Source organism: Homo sapiens, chromosome 6 (assembly GCF_000001405.40).
Source record: "Homo sapiens chromosome 6, GRCh38.p14 Primary Assembly".
Lineage (NCBI taxonomy): Eukaryota > Metazoa > Chordata > Mammalia > Primates > Hominidae > Homo > Homo sapiens.
In genome coordinates, this window is record NC_000006.12 from 93,407,163 (window position 1) to 93,422,900 (window position 15,738).

Below are 15,738 nucleotides of genomic sequence, written 5' to 3' on the forward strand. Positions count from 1 at the left end.
TTTATAGTTATTTATATTTCATATTGTCTTCTAGCAAACATCACAATGGGCTGCTACTTCAAAATGTGCCCAGATAAACTTGCCTTTAAGTGGCTAACCACTCTCATTTGGCTAGGGACTCACTAGCATCCTCTCCCAAACACATTAGTTTTCCTCAATATAGGACTGGAATTTGTTTTCAAACTCTTAACAGGATCATTGAAAGGAAACAGGAAGAATACTATAAAGGCAAGCCTGGAGTGATTCCAGAGGCAAGTACTCTTGCAGCAATGCATTGGAATTATGCCAAGGAGGGAAGTGTTTTTGCAAATGAACATAGTTCCATGGTTAAGTAGAAGGTATTTAATTCTTTTGTCAACATCACCAAGGCTAAAAATTAAGAAAGTTATGTCATAAGCAATTTACTTGACTTATAACAACGCACACATATTCTTTCGATTAAACCATAAGGCAGCATCTTGCCTCCTTTAACCGTGTATTTTTATTTTTAATTAAATGTTACTATAATATTAATACCTAATTTCAAGTATTCAAAAGCAGAATTAATGAAGATGACAGTGGAGTAATTTTATTTTATTTTTAAATACCTTGGTATAGTTTGCAGGTAACAATAATTTTGGTAGTAAAATGTTTCAATTCTTGCAATTAAATTTGATGAATGTAAGTAATTTTACAGTACCATGTTTGATGAGATGATTTTTCTCATTTGAAATAAATTGAGGTTTATTTTTCATGATAAATATATCTATTTACTGTGGTTTAAGACTGCTTTTCTTACTAAATTCTATAATTAGAAGCATAAAACTCAAACAGCTCCTGTTCACATTTTCTTATGAATAAATGTGGAAATCACATTTTCTTAACAAATAAATGAGTTAAATTATACAAAGTGAAACAACTGCCACAAAAACCCGTAATCTTCTTTAAAACCTTTAAAACACAGGGCCTTTAATGTTATTTCCTATCTTTTCTCAGATAAATTTAATTGTGTACTTTTATATGTATTTCTACTTCGTTATTTTTCCCATTTTAATTGTGTAAAAGTTTTAAGTTCCTTTTTCATATCAATCAAGTTCTGCATAATATTGAAACTGCTCCTTTCATAGCTAAAGTGCAATAATGTTCCTAAAATTTTTTGTAACAGTTACTGCTGAATCCACCATCACTTTCAAGTAACTGTTAACCTCCTGTCAACAGGAACGCTGCCTTTCATTGAATTGATTAGTTCACTGAGAATATTTCTCTACTTACCCAGTGGAATAGCATTTTGCCTACAAGCAGGGATAAATCTTCATCAGTTTCTGATTTCCACATATATGGAAACTGCAGGATTTTCTACTCAATTAGAAATACTGCCAGTGAGGGAAAGGGAAACAGGACAATAGGAGACAGGTTTGACTCCTTCAGGGACATAAAAGGAGACTGCTAAACTGGTCTATGGGACCTGAACCTATATCATCTCCATTTGTTTTGCTCAGAGTTCACTTCACAATGTCACCTCTGGTGAAGATGATAATTGAGTGCAGAGCCATAGGTACTTTACATGCTTAGCAGCCATCCACATGAAGTATTTAACTCTTTGAATAGGACAGAAAAAGGTATTTGCTCAGTTACTCCATTTGAAAAGTATATCCAATACAAACACAATGTGAGCCACAAATGCAATTTTAAAATTTCTAGCCACACTAAAAAAGAGTAAAAGAAACAGCTGAAATTTTAACATTATCCTCTATCTAGCCCAGTATACCTAAAATATGATTATTTCCACATGTAATCAACATTTAAAAATTGTTAAGGACATATGTTACTTTTTTTTCTTTTTTTTTTCTTGCAGTACAGCTTTGAAATCCAGTGTGTAACTTTTACTTACAGCACATCTCAATGTTTAATAGTCATTTTTCAAAACCTAAAGAGCCACACGTGGCTGCTGGGTTCAGTACTATATAGCACAGGTCTAAACTTTTTAAAAATTATTTAATTTTAAAAATATTCTACTAGAATGAGAATTTTATGGGGAAGTAATCCAATTTATATATGTATATGAGGCACCTAAACACTATGAGCCTTGAAACAGTATTTCCTAGGATTCTCCTTGCTTTGTGATTAAAACTAGGGCAATATCGTTGCCTAGGCTCTAAAGTCAGAATATCTCAAGTTTGAATTTAAGCTCAGACAAATATTACTAACGTAACTGCAAGCAAGCTATTTACTCTTGATATCCTCTATTTTTTTATTGTGTAAAACATAAATGATAATGATACCTACCTCATTAAATAAGCTTGTGTATGTAAAGGAAATGGAGGATGTCTGCACATACTAAGTTATCAAGAAAAATTAGTTATAATAGTTATTATTATCAGTAGTCTCCTTTAGCTCAACTAAGAATTCCAAGTATAAAACCTGTGCTTCTGGCTCTGGTGTAAAAATAAATATAGATATATGTGTTATTTTTAATGTATTATGTTTTATATAAGTTAAAAAGAGACACTAGTAACATAACTTTATAATTTATTTTCATGAAACCTAGAAACAGAATATCTATCAATCTTGAAGGTCCATATGACATAGTTTTAAATATTTAGCCACATAATGCTAGGAAAGAAAAAAAACGGTTTTATAAAACAAAGAAAAAAGTTTACTAATTCATACATGATTGTTTCAAAACATGCAATTGGTGTACTATAATAATTAAAACTTTACTTTGGCCCACTTTCACAAAAATGTGGTCATTTTGGTACTTAGTCCAAAAAAAAAAAAAAAAAACACACACCTTTCTCAGAAGTAACCACAGAGATTTTGTAAGTGAAATTTGAAAATTTTGTATTAAAGTTATAGTATTTATATAAGATAATTCTAAAAGTTTGTAAATATATTCGTTTATGCCCTGCCTGTCACTAGAGCTCTTATTCACAGCCCTCTTAACCTCCTATTTACTGCTACTCAAGGGCCCAGACAATATGGGTTTAAAAACAGGAGGAATGGCATCTCATTAAATCCTGTTAAATGTCACCTCAGTCTTGCCAGGCTATATGTCCAACTACCCAGACTCCTCTCTAAACTCCATAGCCCAACGTGCAACTATTGACTTCCATGTTAAGCATAGGACACATTAAATTTTAGTAACAAATTTCATTATCACCTATATTGATTACATACACTTAGTGCAGATGCTACTGTAGGGCAATCACTAAGTTCAACGGTGACTTTGTTTAAGATCTACTGAATTGCGCTTCTGGTACAGAGCAGATTCACGTATTCAAATAACTATTAAAGTTTAAAATGTCTGATACTGAAATTTAAAAAGGCAAAGTGGAGTTTTAATAGGACACATTACTTACGTTCACAAGTGTCTCCTTTTTGCTGGTAGCCTGCTTTGCAGATACATTTTCCAATGGGCACTAACCATTCTCCTTCTGCACTGCAGTGCATCCTGGGGGCGTTTTCCGCTTCTTCCTCTGCACTGCTGACACATGTCCCTCGAACCTCGACTAAAGAGGAAAATTCTGAACCAGTCACTGTATCTGGAAAGATAGCTAAGTTCTCAATAATGGACCAGCACTTCTTGTAGTACACTTTGACAGAAACCAAAGCTATGCAAGCCCCTACATCCTGAAAGGCAAGATAGAATCCCTTTTTGGACAAAGGTCCAATCTCTCTCACCTCAGTGTTAAGCTTCATCTTTCTTTCACCAAGGTCACCTTGGGTAAAACTTTCATCTGCAGCAATGGTGTCTATTTTTACATAGAGGTTTTCTCTTATATTCCTGCCAGTGTCATAGTCTGTTTCATAATAGTACAAATTAAATGTTTCCTTGCAAGTTCCCAGTACTCCAGGAAGACTGTTACAATCCCTCAGGGTGAATTTCAATTCTACAAAAATCCTTTGTGCATTGCCTTTGGAAATCCAGTTAGTCCGCAGCCAGTTGTTTTGGTTGGGCTCCATGACTTGGCACACCTGGTATGTTCGTATCGGGGTATAGTTCTCATCCAAACCACTAATTTCTTCCCACTGTAAAATTTGAAAAAAGGTCATCAGTCATTCAGCAAAAAATAACATTTTGCTTTTGAAAGTGCAAGTACTTCACAAATACAGATCTTCGAAAAAGTTAGGTTGATTCCTATGCTGGCAAAACTATAAACCAGAGAATGTAAGATTCCAGGTTCTGCTTCATCCTGGTGGTGGAACATACTTATGCTGCTTGCTTTGTGTATACATACAATAAATATTTCATTTTGTTTAATATCTTTCTGTGAGTATATTAGTGTTTCTTTTTTACATGTTTGCTTATGTTTATGTTCTCCATTGAGATTATAATTTTTATAGACTAAAGCTCACAATTATTTAAATTATCAGTGAAAGTATATACATATGGATGCCTGGCAGAATTTTTGATAACTCAGTTGACATTTTAAGTGGCCATATCATACTTACGATTACAGAGTACTTAAAAACATGAAGAAGAAAATGCCCACGGTATTCTGAATAAACCATTCAACAACCTGTTGATATTTATAATTTGGAATATTTTACAATCGTTTCAAAATGAGATATAAGGAAGTAACATTTTACAGAGCTATTTATTTATTCCAGTGTTATATATAATATCACATACAAAGCCACATAACTATAAATAAGTAGTTATAAGAGTATGATTCATTTTTATAAATAAATTGCTTTCAATAGACAATCAAATGTACATGGCAAATCTGCATGCTGGATCATATTTAGTATAAACCTTCTGACAGGAAAAATATCAGATGTTTAAAAATGTCCATTTATATGTTGATATAATGTACATTACAAACAAATCTATATTAAATATTTTCTCAAAAAAGGAAAAAAAGTGCATTTGTCAGAATTTGCAACAATTTCAAACTATTAAACCATATATAATATTCTGTCGCTCATTAATCAATAAAATCATTTCACCTAGGAATCTTAAAAGCCTAAATGAATGGTTTGTTTTCTTCGTACAATTATTAATAATTTTCCCACTTTGTATTTATGATGTCTTAATAATGAAATTGTCATGTTAATATTAATTTCCCCAATAAAAAATTCAAATACAAAACATTTGTGTTCAAGTCCAAAGTTGCATAGCATGCAATATTTTAACTATTGTTTCAAGAAAAGATGAGAAAATAAAAATCATGGGTAAATACTTTTATTTTAAATACTTGATTTGAGTATTGATTTATTTAAATGTTCTGTACAATATTAATGTATACTTTTAAAACCAGTCCTTAGAAAATTAACAAGACTGACAAATTAGCAATATAATACAATTCAGAAATTTCTTTGATGATGTTATATATTTGGTGTGATTTTGTTATACACAGTCTAATACCATCAAAGGTACTCAAATGTAGTAAAGAACCCATTTTAATGTTCAGCTTTTACTCAGTTCAACTTGCATTTGTGACTAGTTAACAGTGTGCCTAGCTTCCCTTTGTTTCAGTTAGCTGCCTACAATCTGAATGGCAATCAGCCAAACATAACCAAATTCATCCATTTGGATGGCTAGATTTCAGTCTCTTAATTAGATTGAAATTGCTGAAAGAAGTAAAACTAGTAATGATATCTACCAAAAAATCAAAAGCTCCAAAGATAAATGTGCTCCTTTTTAACAACTCTGCAGTTTGAAGAAACCAAAGCTAATTATTTTAAAAGAATATAGCCTAAGAATTCCTTTATCTAACTTCGAGAACAAATTTATTCATTTATTCTGTATAAGAAAAATCAATTTTACTACCCTTGAAACCCAATTAATTTTTATTTTTATTTAAAATTTTATTCCAGAGGGGAATGCTTCAGGAAAACTATGATGTAGACTACAAACATTGAGACTACATAAATTCATTTAACACAACTGTTGTTTTATTATCTCACTTTCTAAGACATTATGAACATTTCCACAAATGACGCCATTGGGAAAAATGTCTTCATTCAGACACTGCATTTTTATAGTACGTTTATAGAAATATTTTCTCAAAACTTATATCTCAAGAACATTTTTTTTAGTTAGGTATTTAGTCACATGCAAACTAACCTATTGCACAGATATAGAAAATATTGTCCATCATTGTTTTCTAATATTATGTGTTGATGTTTACAGACATGTAGGGTTAACTGTTAAGATACTTTGGACTGATAAAATGCCCATTTGAGTCCAAGATAACATTGACAGTCATAATTTGTCATTTTGTGTATTACATGGATGAAATACTACAATCATATATCAGTTTACTTCTCCTCAGAGATAAAACCATCCTCTATCTCTATTTGTTTTAATTGATGGATGGTAGAAAATGGGCTACATCTGTCATTGGCAAGAAAGGTGTTTCATTTTTTATCATGAATGGCTGTCTATAATGTATATTATTTTACTTACAGAAACCACTTATCTCAAGAAAGGTGTTATATTCATACCTCCAACTCATGGAATTTTTATATTTAATCTGTAAAATGGTTGTCATTGATTTATAATTTATCATAACCAATACAGATAACCACAATATGAATGAAAGGAATCTTAAAAATTAAATTTAATGAAAACTCTAAATATCTTAAACAGATTTGTTTTGTTCATATTTTACATTCTTAAACTTTCAGTTCCTGACATGCTGATTTTATGATCTCAACAATCTCTTTCAAACTTTCATTCTTCTCTTTGCAAAATATGCTACAGTTTTTGTATCATAACTTACACTCCACACGGTTTTTAATAAGCCAAAGATAAACACAAATAGCAATAGGGTATCTTCTCCTTTCTCAAAGCCCTCTTACTTGATAAGGAATAAAGAATGTGCCCTCTCTCACAATTAAAAATAAGATCTGAAGACACGGATACTGAGCTACATTTACATATGAAAAATAATGGTTAGTATTTTTAAAGATTTACTAATATTTTGGTAGGTTATTACTGGACAATTTTCACTCATATCTATTGCAGATTTTTATTGTAATATGTGCAGGCTTTGCCATCATTTCTGATTAATAACAGCGGATAGCACATAATATAAATTTGGAGAATCTATATAATATTTTATAGTAAATTGTATACCAAAATGTTGAACATAGTACATTTTTAGTTATATTTTAAAGTACATTTTGAATGATGCTGAAACTTTTAAAAATAGGAAAACAGATTGATTACATACTGATTTAAAGAATTATATACCACTGACATGGTGATTATACTAGAAATATAAAGCAACTAAAGAGGTTTAAGTGAGTTTGTGAAAGGAATGTTCCCTGTAATTAGTTAGCATTTACAGCCTGGACCCTGAGGTATGATTCCACACAATAAGAACTCAAAAGACTATGGCTATGAGGTTTTTTTTCCATTTCCCCAAGTTCTAAGTATACCCTCTCTAATCAGGGAACTCAATGTCTCATTATAAATGCAACATAATATTGGACAAGATATTTGGAATTAAACAGTTTATACATGAAGAGTGTGAATAATTACCCTGGAGGGAAGGGAAACGTTTTGTTTCTTATTTTAAAAAAGTGATATTTTATGATGAAAAAAACTTACCCCATTGGGTGGAGAGGAAATCCACTCCAACTCTGTTTGTTGTGCTTTAGAATCCAGCAGTAGTACTGAAAAAGAAAGTTGTATTTCCATATGTTACATGAAACACTTACGCACACATGTAGACATTTTTAAGGTGAATCTTTTCATATAACTATCACTATATGACTTAAGATCTGTAGTTATTTATGTAAATCAATGGTGAAATGAACACCCTCCTGATACATGTATATTCCACTTCCTTAAAGGAAAAAAGATATTAAGACACCAATATTATATTTGGTATGCTTTAATTACAATATTAAATCTTAAAATGCAATATTAGAATGAGGGTAGAAATTTTATATGTGATACATTAATTCCACAGTAATTATATATTACGGTTTTGTAAACCATTGAGCTGTTCAAATTTGTCAAATACAATAACATGAACATAATAAGGTATAATTCCTATATTACTCTTGATCCAGTCATTAATTTGTAACATTCTGCCAGCAGTATTTTCTATTGTCTTTTGAGAATTGGAGTTTATCTTTTAAAAAATCTTTCCACATACAGTGTCGTTAAGCTAAAATGAATACAGAAATGTTAAAAACTGTTAAGCAATGTTATCAGAAAACCAAATTGCCTATTATTTGCAAGATTTTATTCAGGTTAGTCAAGCATCAGTTTTTTCAGCATTTTTTTTAATTTCTTAATTTTCAAAGTGATAGATAATTCTCAAAATGGTATCAACTCTGACTTCTAATCACTTGTATTTCACTTTTATGCTATCAAAAAGCATAATGCGATTAATTTAAAATGTATATAAAGTGTTATAAATGCTCCTGATACTATCAGTATGAGAATGCATTAGAATGTTATATATTAATACACATAATATTTCTATTTGATATATTTTATTTCTTTTTTGGACAATTACTCTTCTAAAGCACTCACTCTTTTGGTCAAACTGGTTTCAGAGTTACATAAGTTTTTGCACTTTAAAAATATTTATCTGACTCTACACCATTTTGACAAATGCATCAATTTGTCCAGAAATAATAGTGAATAAATTTTAAGTATGTCAATAGGCTTAACATCAGCCTCAGAAAAATGTTAAAATTTTTACTTAAAATACATGCTTATATGAACTTTTAATAATTATACAACTCAATCACTAGGGATAAAATATGTATTTGAAAGACAAAAATGTGTTATGATAAGAAAACAAAGGAACAACTGATTATCTGTTTAAAGGAACAGTTGATTATGTGTTTAATTCCTTCACACTAGTCAAAGTTACTCACTGTAAATGAAAATAGATATAGAGACCCAGGATTTTTGTTTTGTTGTTGTTGTTGTTTCTTTGTTTAGTGTTTTACACTTAAGACTCTCAGGGAGACTGACAGGAAAAAAAAAAACTTGATCAGAAACATTTGACTCCCTTTCAAATGAGAAACACACCCACAACACTTTCAAAATGCCAATTTGAATTTCAACTTGTAACATCGATAAATCGTTGGACTAGCGAATTTATATAAAAAGTAATTTTTAAAGTTTATTTTTATCCTCAACAACAGACATGAAGCACAGGGAAACAAGGTGGGTGGTCAGGTACTCTACTCTTTTTGAGATGCTTTCTTAATTTTTATTTTATTTTTCTTGTGTGCTGAATATAGACAACAGGATTTTAAATGCAGGTGACCTTCTTGGGTCATTTCTGAGAGTGAAATAAACATTGCGAGATTACTGTTTATTGCCATTCTGCTACCCCTCAGCTCAGCCTGGGGGTGGAAGCAAGGGACCTAAGCAGACAGCAGTGATGGCCAAGTTAAGAGAGAAACAAACTAACAAATTAAAACAAAACAGAACCCGGCCCGAGAACGTTTAATCGGAAGCCGCTCTCAAGTGATCCGTGCGTCTCTCTTCTGCTCGGTCCGCTCTCTGGTTAAACCCTCAAAAGAGCGCGTATCCCTTCCCGCTCGGAGCAGAGTGCCGACCTCCCTTTGCGCCCGCGGAGGCGCAGTCCCTCGGCTCACCCGGACGCTGGGGGCCAGGCCTAGGACTCCAGGGCTCCGCGCCCCGGAGTCCTGTGGGCCAACAGGTGATGGGAGAGGGGCTAGACTGGGGGCGCGCCCTGACAGACCCAGGCAACGACCGCGCGGGCAAAGGCTGGCGTCCCGGGGCTGGGGCGGGGCCGTCGGAGGGGCGGGGCGGGGGCTGCCAGACGGGCGCGCCAGCCGCGCCAAGCATCCATTACGCCTCTGCCAGACCTGGGCACTCCAGGGAGCCGGTGGCGCCCTCGCTCGAGAAGGAGTCGGGAAGAGGAGAGTGGCTTTCGGGAAGAGGAGAGTGGCTTTCGGGAAGCATCTCCTCTGAGGAAGAGGCGGCGGCGGCGGCGGCATTTACGGAGAGAAAAAGTAAGCAGCTGCACTTTGCCTTCAAGCGTCAGACTCTGACACGCGCTCCCTGTAGCGATGATAACTGACCAACCCGAGAGAACGTGCACAAGGAAAGTGAGGGAAGGGGGTTTCTTATCTTCCTCTAGCCACCCCCAAATGCCCCAGGAGGCCCGGCACCTGCTTCAAGCGGTTCCCAGCGCTAGCCCTTGGGTACTGCGGGCCGCCTCGGGGCTTGTGAACTCCTAGAACGCCAGCTCTTGGTCGCCGCTGCGCCCTAGAGGCGTCGCCGCCTAGAAGCCGGGCGCACTCGCCGCCCGCCAGCCACAGATCACCACCCTCCCTCCCATCACCCCCGCGCCTTTTATACATCACACTTCTGCATCTAAAGAATTCAGGCTCTTAGAATCAGAATCCTCTTCACGTAGCTTGCACCCAGAAGAGCAAAGAGAACTAGACATTCTGGCTGCAGGAACCTCTCCCCCTAGTGATGCAGTTATTTATAGCCCAAACTCCAGCCCGAGTCTGCGTGTGTTCGCGCGCGGGGTTTCGCCGCGGCGGTGCAAACTTTTCCTCTGGTCCGCTATTCCAGAGGAATCACAGTATGCCAGGGCTGAAGGTTTCTGATCGCTAACGTCAGGGGAGTAGAAATGTGGTTTTGGAGGGGATGAGCGTGCGTTTCTAGCAGATGTCCGTCCTTCTGCAAACGCGTAACCGCCAGCTTGGAGGCACGGGGTTCTCTGAATGGGTTCAGCATCTATACAGGTTGCAGATGTGGAAAGTGGGGTCAGAAGGTCAGGCTGAAAGAAGGACTAGAATTTGGCGCCGGGTTTGAGGGGGGCTTGAGCGAACTAAGAGGAGTGCACGATGAGAATAAAGAAAAGGTGCACTAAGTTTTCAGAAATAGATGAATCAAGGACCTATATGTAAGTCCCCTCAACACCCCGCCCGATAACCACCATGACCTAAATTTCATAACAGATTCCTCTCCCTCTACACATCAGGAATAAGTAATTATTTCTCTTCTGCTTTTAACAGATCGAAAAATGAAACTTAGATACACAGCCTGAAAGACCAGGGGGGCGACGGGATGAGGGGGGTTGGGGATGGGATTGTGACACTGCTCAAAAGCAAGAGACTTCCATTGACAGGGTTTATTTTTCCCCAGCTCCAACTACAGGCACCGAAAGGTATTTTACCTTCTGTCAAAGGTTCAAAGAAGGAAAACATAACCATATACAGGCGTATCTGTAACAGCTTGCCAAATAAAACCTGCCTTCTCCTACCAGAACCAACCCTCAGGGTTCAGGTCTTTGGCAAGGATTGGGCACTCGGATTCCTCAATTGCTGCACTATGGGGCAAATAATTGGGGACTTTGAGTCGCCCAGGCGGCATCCTTACAAATTGCACAGCTCCAGCCCGCCCCCTGCCTCCACGGCCCGACCAAGCCCGCTGGGCTGCCGCTGCCCCCATGACCGCTGGGCCCGACGCGCAGCGCGCGCTGAATGGAGACATCCCCGGCCCTCGGGTCGCGCGCCGCACGCCGCGCTTCACCTCCGCGGCGTTATTGTTCCGTGCTGGCGGCCGAGCGCCAACCGCAGGACCGCGCCGCCGCCTCCGACGCAGTGAGCACTTCATTAGTAACCCGAGCTTTCCGAGCTCATCGAAGTCTCGGTCCCTCTGGGAAGGCTCCGGGCTCCCGCCACTCGCCGGCGGGCTGGCGGAGACGGTAGGGGCTGCATTTCCCAGTCTCCAACCCAACTCTGGCCGCAGCTCCCACAGAAGGCGAATAAGGAGACAAGGAAGACCGAGCTAGAGAGAGATGTGACCCGCCTGAGGTACTAAGAAATAAGCTCGCCGGCAGTTCCTCCAACCCCACCCCACCCCCGTTGCTGCTCACGCCCTCCAGACTGCCCGCGCCAGAAATCCCGCACCCGTCGGATGGACGGCTCCGGGCACAGGGCTGTAGGCGGCTCGGAACAGCCCTGGTTCGCGCTCGCTGGTCCGCCAGGAGCGGCCTCAGCGGTGAGGGGGCGGGGAGCCGGCGGGGGAGGGTCGCCCGGCGCCGGAGGCGCGGCCGGCAGCGCCGCGGACGAGCTGGCTTGTGCAGGTAGACATCTAAATAAATAAGTCAGAACAAACTTTGCTTTCCCATCACCTTACCTTCCTTCGCAGCCTGCGCCTCCCCTGTGTGTGCAAAGCGGAGCAGCCAGATGTAGCATAAAATAATCCATGAAGGGTACCGAGTTTGAAAAACCATGGTGCATGAGCAGGTTTTATTTTAGGTTTCAGTTATCTTGAGTCGTGGATTTTTAAATGCTGTTTGTTCCGAAGTAGCTTTTGTTTTATTGTGCTCCTTGCATCGATTCCCCTTCTCGGTCCCCGATCGGCTGCTCCACGTTTAGCTTTTTTTAATTTCCCCCCCACTCCTGTTCGCTCGCACCGTGTTTGCTGCCTGCAAGTCTCCGACTGCAGACCGGCCGCTTGCTCCACACTCCAATAATATCAATTAGGGGGGGAGGGGGCGGGGCTCCGAGCTGAGAGCCTCCGCCACTCGGGCTGAGTGGCAGGCACAGCCGGCCTGCCAGGAGGCGATTCCCAGGGCCAAGGGGCGGGTCCCGGCGAAATGGCCGCCCCGGCCACGGGGGCGGGGTCCGAGGCAGGAGCCAATCGGTGCCGAGCGGAGTCAGGTTGCTGGTCCAGGATTCCCTCCAGGTTCTGAGCTCGCGCTGGATGTTCAGAGGAGAACGAGGATGGTAGCCGAGGTGTGTGCTGCTTTGGACGCTCTGCTTTTAGCAACCGCAGCTTTCGCGTAGCAGAATAAATCCGAGAATAACGCTCCCAACTTACACTCTTTTCTATAGCTGTACTCCGCGCGATCTTTTAGAAACCAGAGGCGAAGCAAGCCTTCTCTCAGCTACCAAGCACGGAGCCCGGACAGTGAAATGAGCTGTGCCTTTAAGTAAAGTGTGTTTTACTTTTTTGTTGTTAGAACCTCCGCGGGCTGGGTAACTTTGTTTTTTGCCTTTTTGAAAAGTTTCTACTTCTCTTTTTCTGTTACTCCAAGAGCCGTCAGTTTTAGGTACCACCCACCACAATCCCTGAAAGAATAAAGTAACCAAGTGTATTATGTTTAAACAATGTTTCCAAGAGTTTGCAACAAGCTCTGGCAAAAGAAACAGAGGAAAAGGGAGTGGGAAAGGAAGTCTTTTGTTTTAAGCGCCCCTTCTCCTCCGCCCTGTCTTTTCACCATAGTTTGTTGAGCGAAGTGAGACATTAGGAGAGAACCTTCTGATGGTTGCGTATCGTTTTTTTACGCGTTTATCATTTTCTAAGGTTTTCCTTGGATTGCCTCCACTTTGATAGTTTTCCATTTCGCTGCATAAATTACACTGAATTTTAAAGAATGCCACTACGTATTAAATTCATAAAGCAAGACCTTTCTCTTCGCAAGTATTTACCATTTTCAGGAATTATTCAATGCTTATCTTTCAAAGAGAAACTAAGAATAAAAAAAGTCATAACCAATATCTCCAGTTGAATTCATTCAACCCGAACGGCAAGGAAGGCTGCGTAGAGAAATCTGTTTTCCATTAGGCAGTTTCGGACACTTTGTATTCAAGAGGTAGGTAATAAGAGGAAGAACTTTAAAATTTTAATTGCCAAATCTTCAATTTCAAAGGTCACACAGAGTAACTTGATCACATGTTTAAGATGAATTTCTTTTTTTGTCCTATAATTTCTTCCTTTAAAAATATTTCTCAGTCATTTATGATTTCCTTTTATTTCCGATAGATCCAAAGTTTGATCTCACATAAGGCTCCAAACTTTTTCCAACCTTTCTATCTGGAAATATAAAGTAAATTGAGTTGTTTCTGCTTTTTATAGTAGGGAGTTCTCTAAGATGACAACCCCCAGATATTTATTTGTATTTTATGTTAAATTGTCTCCTGTAGTTTTTATTTGCCTAATAAAATAACATGGAAGAGAGATATGAAATTTATTCTTTAAACCTCTTTGATTCTGTAGTTTCTGAAACATTTCTTCAATGTTACATATTCCTAGCCATTATGCCTATTTAATATTTTAGAAAGTGTATCAAAAAGCATCTTCAGTGTCCCTTAAAGGATGCATAGAAAATGTAAATGCGTAATAGATTAACCTTAGAAAGAGACAAAAAAAAATATGGGGAGAACACACTTGTTATAGAGGAGATGAAGCTTTATTTACACAAATAGATGATTTAAGGATGAAACTTGTAAACTAAAACATAAGAGTTAAAAACATAAATCCCTGCACTTAGTCTTTAGAACTCACAGAACTACAAACTTACAAATATTAAACCACTTCTAATAGTTAAAACGAATTCTCCAGGATTTCAACACTTTCCCCAGGGTCTCATCCCCACTTCTTAAAATGACACCAAGGTGGCCTTTAAAGTTTAAAATATTCCTTTCATCTATTGAATGACTAATACTCAATGATGTGAATACAAATACTTTTCCATTAAAACCAGGAAACCAAAGAAGTAACATCCTTCACTCCTCTGATGAGTGTAGGTGGTATAGTGAGTCCTCTTTTTGTGTCCCTTCTCTCTGTCAGACACAGGGGCATGTGTAACTTTACTCTTATTTTTAGAGACAAGAAGCTTCACATTAAATGCACATGTGCCAGGCTGCTGACAGTTCTCCCTGCATAGCTGCACAGTGATACTGATTTTTAGGTTTTTCAAACTTCTCTTCTTTCTTTTGTAGTATCTAGATATATTGACAAAGAATTCGGAGCATTTAAATAAAAATAAATGACAGTCAAGAAGACAGTGTTCAGCATACAGTATATGATTAATATATAAATTTACACTCGACTGTATTTGACTAATGATAAAGCATATAGACCTATTTGTACATGAAGCCACTGACATAAAAATTATCAGTATACAAAACTTTCTCATTTTAAAATAACATAATGGTGAACTTCCTCACACCATTACAATTTATTTTAGCTTCATTTTATGATTTAAGCATATTATTTCTAATCAATTATTTTTAATAATGCGATGTGTTTGTATATAAAGTGAATTCAAAAGGAACTTGTCTTCCTGAGCAATACCAAATAGTGTATGAGACCAACACCTGTGCGCCAAAGCAATAATTCTGAAAACTAGTTTTACATTTTTATGCATTCATTGTACAACTAAGTTGATAGCGTCGTCCACATATATTTAGTGAATTTTAAGTAAATGGAAACAGAGACTAAGACCTTAATATTTCAATTTTATATCCCCTCTGTTGCAACATCTATAATAAATGTATAGTGGAAAGATGAAAAACGCCTCTCTTCAGATACTAAGGAGATATACCCAATTTTAATGCATTTTGTATTATTTATTTGTATAATTACCAATAATCACATGACTGTACATGTAGGGAAATGTCCAAATTCAAGACACATTCTAAATGAGGGTACACCTGCTATTTTGTTTTAACTTGTTACAATACTAATATTTACCTCACTGTTTAACTCTGGGAAATATTCTCTGATTTTAAGAGAGAAATAGGAGTAAATTATAATGACTTCAGGGAATAAGTTCTATGAATTTTCAAATGAAAGAAAAGGTTATACTGTGTGTGTCTAGTATTCAGGCCATTCGAGGGCAAAGGGACAATTGGAGATTTCAGTATGTTACAAATCCAAGACTGTCAAACTAAATAGTTAACAACAATGAAATCAAAGGGCTGTTTCTGAACCCACTACTTTTGTACTTATCATCAAAATGCATTCACAGCTGGCAAATGTGAAAATGCAAGTTCATCACAGAA

General features: G+C 37.5%; 1 protein-coding gene across 13 annotated transcripts in view, besides 1 other annotated feature; it reads right to left on the reverse strand.

Moving 5' to 3' along the window:
• EPHA7 (EPH receptor A7) overlaps nucleotides 1-12,397 on the reverse strand; it is a 179,540-nt gene extending 167,143 nt beyond the window's left edge. For 10 of the 13 annotated variants that reach the window (NR_164810.1, NM_001376466.1, NM_001288629.2 and 7 more), the window contains exons 1-3: nucleotides 12,083-12,397; nucleotides 7,541-7,605; nucleotides 3,339-4,008 (exon numbers count right to left, since the gene is read on the reverse strand). Coding sequence is in view for 12 of the 13 variants with exons in the window: in NM_001376466.1 (NP_001363395.1) it covers nucleotides 3,339-4,008; nucleotides 7,541-7,605; nucleotides 12,083-12,179 (832 nt within the window). In the remaining variant the exon portion in view is untranslated. Of the gene's footprint in view, nucleotides 1-2,491; nucleotides 4,009-7,540; nucleotides 7,606-9,792; nucleotides 9,999-10,098; nucleotides 10,221-12,082 lie in introns of those variants that run through there. The other 3 variants (NM_001376470.1, NM_001376471.1, NM_001288630.2) reach the window with 3 other exon arrangements.
• Nucleotides 12,445-12,644: a silencer, noted in NCBI's record as "silent region_17402". NCBI's record gives its function as "represses an Ori minimal core promoter by ATAC-STARR-seq in GM12878 lymphoblastoid cells {active_cell/tissue: GM12878}" and the evidence as "EXISTENCE:reporter gene assay evidence [ECO:0000049][PMID:35858748]".